Below are 7300 nucleotides of genomic sequence, written 5' to 3' on the forward strand. Positions count from 1 at the left end.
CCCAAGGAATACACCCAAAACAAGCAAGGAGGTGATCTAGAGCCTCCCATGCCAGTGTCTGCTAGGGTCCACATCTCCTGTCATGGACTGGGGCTTCAGGGGATCTGCATGGAGAGAGGCTAATTGATGGGGCTGGGCACCCTGTGGCCCTGAGAGCAGTGTTGCCCCATCCTCGTTCTTTGCCTTCCCATTCTCTCTCTGTTGATTTCTTCAGCCCTCCTCTTCTCTTCTCTTTCTTCCCTCTCTTTTCCTGTTCCCTTTTGCCTTACTCTTACCTAACCTTTGGTCTTGTTTTTAGTCTTTGGTCTCCATACTTGGGAGTCTGCTGGTTTCTCTGTACCCTTTTCAGCTTTAAAAAAAAAAAGACCCAAAGTTTAATGCAAATGACATTAATAAATGTCTAAAGCAATGGTTCTCAACTTGGGCTACACATTAAAATAAACTGGGAAGCTTCAAAAAATGGGGTTGCCTCGGTCACACCCCTGGAGATTCTCATTTGATTGGTCTGGAGTGTGGCTTGGATTTGGGGGTTTTGAAAGCTCCCCGGGTGATTCTAATGTACATTCAAGGTTGAGGGTCATTCATCTAAAGACTCCCTGAAGTGTTCTGGCATTGAAAATATTTGTCTCCAACAAGCATCCCTGATGTAAGTACTCTCCTCTTTCACTTTGGTCTGCCGTGGTGCTCTCAGGAGAGAGTCCTGACTCTCTCAATCCCTTCCAATTTAGCTTTGCTCCTTTCCTTACGTGTTTCAGAATTGATCCATTCAGGTCATCATAGAGAAATTCTGCTTTTCAGTGTCATAAAATCCTAGTCATTTCTTCCACTTCTCTTTGTGGTTTTATGTGACTGATAAGTCAAAATAATATCCAGCATTTTATGAGTAGTTGTCGATTGTCTGATTCAGTGGTGTTGTTGGCTGTACCTTAGAAACACCTAAGAAGCTTTAAAAATATACCACTTCAGGGCATGGTGGCTCACGCCTATAATCCCAGCACTTTGGGAGGCTGAGGTGTGCAGATTGCCTGAGGTCAGGAGTTTGAGACCATCCTGGCTAACATGGTGAAACCCCATCTCTACTAAAAATACAAAAATTAGCCAGGTGTGGTGGTACATGCCTGTAGTCCCAGCTACTCGGGAGGCTGAGGCAGGAGAATCACTTGAACTTGGGAGGTGGAGGAGTTGCAGTGAGCCCGAGATCGCACCACTGCACTCCAGCCTGGGTGACAGAGGGAGATTCCGTCTAAAAAAACACACACACACACTTTCCAGGCCGTACTCAAGAAAAATTAAATTAGAAACTCTTGGAGGTAGGGCCTAAGCATTCTTTAAAGCTCCACAGTGATTCTAACGTGCTATCTGGGTTAACAATCACTGGCCTAGGTACTAGGTAAATTTATCCTAATTTCTTGCACTTCTCCCTTCATTTCTTGCTCACTAACTTTAGGTCACTGCCTGCAATTAGTTTTATCAACCCTGCTCAGAGGACAGAAGTAGGTGTTTCATCTGTGCTCTTCTCTTCTGCTTTGTAGGCCTCTAATCCCTAGGTAGCAATCTTCTGTAGTCCAGATTCAACTCCCCTCCTCATGGCACCTGCTTGGGTAGTATCAGTCCTGCTTCCCAAACCCAGCATAATAAATTTGCTTGTCTGTGTTCATTTTATATCTGAAGTGATGAATTAGCCTATGTTTATGTGGTAGTAATTCTACCAGTGAGTTAATGTATTACCTATCTTAGGCAACACATTTCTAAAAAACGAGGACATCCTCTGGACACAGGTGCATTACAAGGGCTTGGCTTTAACGCTGAGGATTTCAGCAGACCAGCTGAGAAAGAGTTATTTGAGATCTTGGAGCCATTTTGCTGTCTCTCTCTCTCCATGCCACTCAATGTCTTCTCCACTGTCCAACACCCTCCCAAATTAGGGTCTCCTTCAGTAGGCAGAGCCAGGCCAGGCCAAGGAGGAGGAGGATCTCTCACAGCAGTCAGTTCCTATGTTGTCAGCAGTTCCAATATAAAAAAGGAGAGAAGGGAGCCGGGCACAGTGGCTCATGCCTGTAATCCCAGCACTTTGGGAGGCCGAGGTGGGCAGATCACGAGGCTGGGTGTGGTGGTGGATGCCTGTAGTCTCAGCTAGTCGGGAGGCTGAGGCAGGAGAAACGCTTGAACCTGGGAGGCAGAGGTTGCAGTGATCCGAGATTGCGCCACTGCACTCCAGCCTAGACGACAGAGTGAGACTCTGTCTCAAGGAAAAAAAAAACAACAGAAGGAGAGGAGAGGAATAAAGTGAAGGAATAAAAGAAATTGCTGTGGATCACAATTCCCTAGATGCTTTGAATAATTGTGATAATTGAAAACAGACTAATAATGATATTTAATAAATGCAATTTTACTTTGTCTTCAACAGAATGCTTCTTCTGAATTATCTTGTCATCCCATCAAAGGCCCAAGTTAACAAACCAGGCTACATCCCTAACCTAGGAGGTGAGTGCAAAGCAAGGGGTTCCCATATATGTCATATATGTGACATTTCTTTTAAAATTGCAATTTGATTAATTATAATTAGAAATGATTTTTTCTTCATTAAAAGGATTCTACTATACAGTCTATTCTCACCTAGCTATGGTTGGAAATATATTCACACTTCAAATTCTTAAGCTACTGAAATTTTTTTTGTCCCTGAAAATTAAGCAGGCGTGTCTGAAAATGCTTTTAAATTAGCCTGGGTGATTTTTAGATGGGAGTGAGGAGAGCTGCCTGCTTTACTTAGCTGCTCCCTCTCTTCAATCTTCTCTCTAGTTCTCTATCCCAGGACATCCTATATGATATCAGCAGTATCCCCAGATTTCCCATTGTGGCCCCTTTCTTTTCCCTAGCCTGAAAAGATCAAGGTATTATGATAAATAATAGCTGTGAGAGGCCTCAGGGATGATGGAGACGTTTATTTACATTTGAGATCTCAGAGATAGACAAAGATATATAGAAAAATAGAAGTGGAGAAAGGAGCCACAGGGAGAAACAGAAATTCAGATACACAAAGACAGAGGGACATGGTGGCTCACGACTAGAAGAGAGCCACCTAGACACAAGGACATGTGCAGACACAAGTCTTCCAATCCTGTGTCTCGATGTCCCTCTGGATCTAGAGACAGAAAAGAGAGGAAGACAGAGGAACCCACATCGAGATACCCACATTCATAGGGAGACAGAGACAGAGAGATGCACGGAGAGGATAAGAGATGCATTGGGAGATCGAGAGAAATGCAGAAAAAAAAAAAACCCAGAGAGATGGACTCACAGAGACACATACAGCATGACAGAGACAGAAACAGAGATAGATGCACTCAGCTATGTAGAGAGGGCCTCCCACCCCTCATCCCAACACATCCAGGCTCCAGCAGCCTTTGTGGCTTTCTGTAGCAGTCCAGGGCCTTGTATAAAAAGTGGGTCTTTTCCAAGAAGTGTTACACTGAAAAGGAGGTGGCCCAGCTTAGAGAAAGACAAGGTGTGTAATTCAGCATTTGTTGGCAACAGAAAAGACTGTTCTCTGGATTCCAAAGTGGCTTAAAGGGAGGAGACTCTCCATCGGCCATAAGGGATGTACCCAAATGGGCTCATTGTTCAAGACAGTGAGCTTATAATGCAGATGTTGTAAAGCCTATGAATCTTGCTACCTGTACATTAAAGCTGTGATCTTCTGTTCTTGACAGGGTTGTATATTTCAGGAATGGCAGAGCCCAAAGGAGAAATGTGCTCATTCCTGTCTTCTTGCTTCTGGAGAATATGTAGGAAGCTCACACATGTGGTGCTGATGGAGGAGGGCGTGATGTGCAGAAAGGATGAAAGGCTCCTCTGTCTAAGCTGTTCTGTGCTACTAAACATTTCTCGTCCATCAACTGTACATAGCTACATATGTCATGCTGGGCAGCCACAGCAAACAAAAAGACAAAGGGGGCCACAACCGTGGTTTTTGTTGGGGCTTCCATCTCTATGCTGTTGGGTCACATTTGTCTTCAGAAAGCAACCTCTGTCTCATCTTGGAAAAGGCGGCCTGAGATTTCACCTGGCTGGATTCTGTGTGTTGCTGAGGGAGGAGCCTCATGAATAGTCACAAAGAGTTGGGCTGACTCTAAGTAGGACATTGCAGATTATTTTTTTTTTTCAAAAGGAATCCACTGCCAGTATATCCACTTTTTCAAATTTAAATAGATTGGATTGTCAACTTGGTTTAGGCTTAGATACAACTTCCTTGGCCATGAACCAAGGGGAAAAGCATAGAGCTTTTGAGACAGAAAGATGACCATTTTCAGTTAAGGAGATGGAAGTCTGGAGTTGTGAGTCAATGCTAATCGAGGACTGAGCCAGAGGTAGAAACCCAAGTGTGCTGGCTCCCAGCCCTGTACTTCCTCTTCAAGACCATATAGACACTGAAAGATCTTCTGCCTACACTGACAATGTAAGGTCAATCCTCACCAACAATATGCTTTTTTGATACCTGGGATTGGAGAGAGGAAATATCACATTTCCAATTCAGAGCTGCTCTTTTTCTTAACCTGTATGTAAACAAATTCAACATTCAAACCAGGTGTTACCTGATAGAACAGTATTGTAGGTAGAAGCTCTTTGAGGAAAAAAAAAAAACCTCTTTACAAAGCAAGGACATAGATGACTGCAGCAGCATCTAACTAGTGGATGAAGGCAAAGGGGCAATGGGCAGCCTTTAATTATCCCAACAAGAAGTCAGTATTGATGACGTTTCATTACAAAGGAGAAAGTGGGGCTCACCTTAGGTATGAGTGCAGTCCCTTCCTTCCTTCCTTCCTTCCTTCCTTCCTTCCTTCCTTCCTTCCTTCCTTCCTTCCTTCCTTCCTTCCTTCCTTCTTCCCTCCCTCCCTCCCTCTCTCTCTCTCTTTCTCCCTTTCTCTTTCTTTCTTTTTTTCTCCCTCTCTCTCTTTCTTTCTTTCTTTGTTTCTTATTACAAATAATCTTCCTATAAGTAGGAAAGTTTGAGCAGACAAAAAGCATCAATCTGAAGTTAAAAAAAATGCATCAACCTGGAGAAATAGTCATTTTTCAAATGGCATTGCTTATCTTGGGACAACAAAAGCATCCTTCACAAATAAAGTCAGAGAGTGGTTTTAATTTACCATTTACCAATAGATTTGTATGTTCTTTTCAAGAGAAGGGGTGAGATAGACATAGTCCTGGTTTTCCTCAATGCAGGCTTAGGTACAAAGAGATGTCACTTACCCAGAGTCCATATATTGAAGTGAAAATGGAATTTCATGAAGCAAATATAGTTATAGGATGGTAACTCTGGACAAATTTTATAAAAGATGAACTCCAATTGCTTCATTTCACAGATAACAGCTCTGAGCACTAGGGAGAGAGGGAGGGATTGGCCTAGCATTTGCTTTGTGTCTTGAGCAGTCACATCTATTATGGAAGTACTCACTACTCAGCTATACTCACTCCCTGAGACAGGATGGTTGGAAAGAAACCCCACCTTAGCTTCATCATTAACCAAGAAACCCCAAGGATGCTTAGAGAAAAACTCTGGAATTATTTGGGAATTCCTGGAAGAAGCTATGCCCTCTCTCCTGCATCCCAAAGCCCACTCTACACCATCTTGAAAAATGTCAAGGAACTGCATGGATTAGGTTGACTCTGGATGACCCTGGGTAGAGACACATTCAGTTTCCTGCTGACACCGCACCAAGAAAGTGATTTGGTCAGGTGACTCTAGGAGAAATTGGTACTGATAGTATCCAAGGCAGATTTTTAAGTATCAGACTTAATACATAATGATTCTTGGGAAAGCCATTTAAATCCCTGAGACTTTAAGTGGATAAATGTAGGTAAAGTAGTATAGTACTTGGCTCATAATAATTGCTCATTCAAATTCACATGTTAGTTTTAGTTGTTTTTTTTAAATTAGAGTCCTGTGAATACATGAACCCACCCACCCACATGCAAACACAAGCAAACACACAGCCATGACCCCATGCATAAGTTTGGCTGAAGACACCCTCATGGGAACTAGTTCACTGACTTCCAAATTAAAGAGTTAAGCATTTGATTTGGTCTGTTCAACATTAGGGGTATCAGCCAGCAAAATCTGTTGAGCTTACCATTGAAAAATCCTTTCATTCATTACTGTGGTCATAATACACAGTTACCTGGCCAGGAAAGAGTACACATCACAGGGATCTGCTCACTGCACGTGTGCCTGAGCTCTCCCTCACTTTCTGCCTTCTTCAAGAATTCTTCCCTGATTGGTCCAACCAGAAGCGCTGATTCTCCCCACCTGATTTCCTGTAATTTTATAATCTATGTCCTTCACTTTTGTGTTATATTGTTTATTTCCTTTTGGTCTTTTTGTGTGCATATGTATATGTTTTGGGGAATGGGGTATTCACTTTTGTTACTCACTGTGTTACTCACTTTTGTATGCCCATAGTGCAGAGCATGGTGCCTTGTACATAGAGTATGTTCGGTAAATATGTGCAATAAAAAGTCCTTTGATTACACAATGGCTTGATATTGGCTTTTCCACTTCCCAAATGAGCCATTTCTTAACTACTGACCTAAATGGAGCTGACCCATTTCCATAAACAGCACCTCCTTGACCTTCATTGCTATAAAACCCATAACAAAACTGCCTCCTCACTTACCTCTCCTTATTGTCCACATTTCTCCTGGAAATATCTAAATGAGGGTTTGCTTTAGATCTTTGGGGAAGGAAGGCCTGTGAGTAGACAACAGTAGAACTAGGATGTGTGGGACTGTTTGGTGGTTAGCAGAACAATGCAAACTGGCTCCCCTGTCCAAAGTCAAACCGTGTGCATTCCCCACAAGTGGACACAGTGTCTTCTGTGTCTGAATTACCACAGTCATGTAGTGGCTCAGTGAGAACTCCTTGTCCCGGTCATTACAAAAATAAAACAGAAATCTCTCTGTTGCTAGGTTAGGAATTAGATCACAATTGATGCACCAGTTTATCAGCCAATTTCCTCCAAGTTCAACATCAGAACAGGCAAAAAAAAAAAGTATCAGCCTTTAAAAATCATCAACAATAGTGGCATAACCTTGCATTTTATCACCCTCCTTCCAATTATCCCAGTGCAGCAGATGCAAGCAGAGTCTCATGCAATCATCTGAGATAAGGATGAAGAACTGAAAGACAAACAAGTGACTCACTTTAATGGATTTGCTTCAGACAGGAGAAACCTGTAATTTCTCTTAGGCGTGCTTCATGGACCCATAGTGGAGTGAATCACAGACTTGCACAAGCCTTGAA

General features: G+C 42.7%; 1 pseudogene across 2 annotated transcripts in view; it reads left to right on the forward strand.

Moving 5' to 3' along the window:
• ADGRF2P (adhesion G protein-coupled receptor F2, pseudogene) overlaps positions 1 to 6530 on the forward strand; it is a 41323-nt pseudogene extending 34793 nt beyond the window's left edge. For both annotated transcript variants that reach the window (NR_184444.1, NR_184445.1), the window contains 2 exons: positions 2408 to 2484; positions 3726 to 6530. The product of NR_184444.1 is annotated as an adhesion G protein-coupled receptor F2, pseudogene, transcript variant 1 (transcript). The remainder of the gene's footprint in view (positions 1 to 2407; positions 2485 to 3725) is intronic.

This window comes from Homo sapiens, chromosome 6, assembly GCF_000001405.40.
Source record: "Homo sapiens chromosome 6, GRCh38.p14 Primary Assembly".
Classification (NCBI taxonomy): Eukaryota; Metazoa; Chordata; class Mammalia; order Primates; family Hominidae; genus Homo; species Homo sapiens.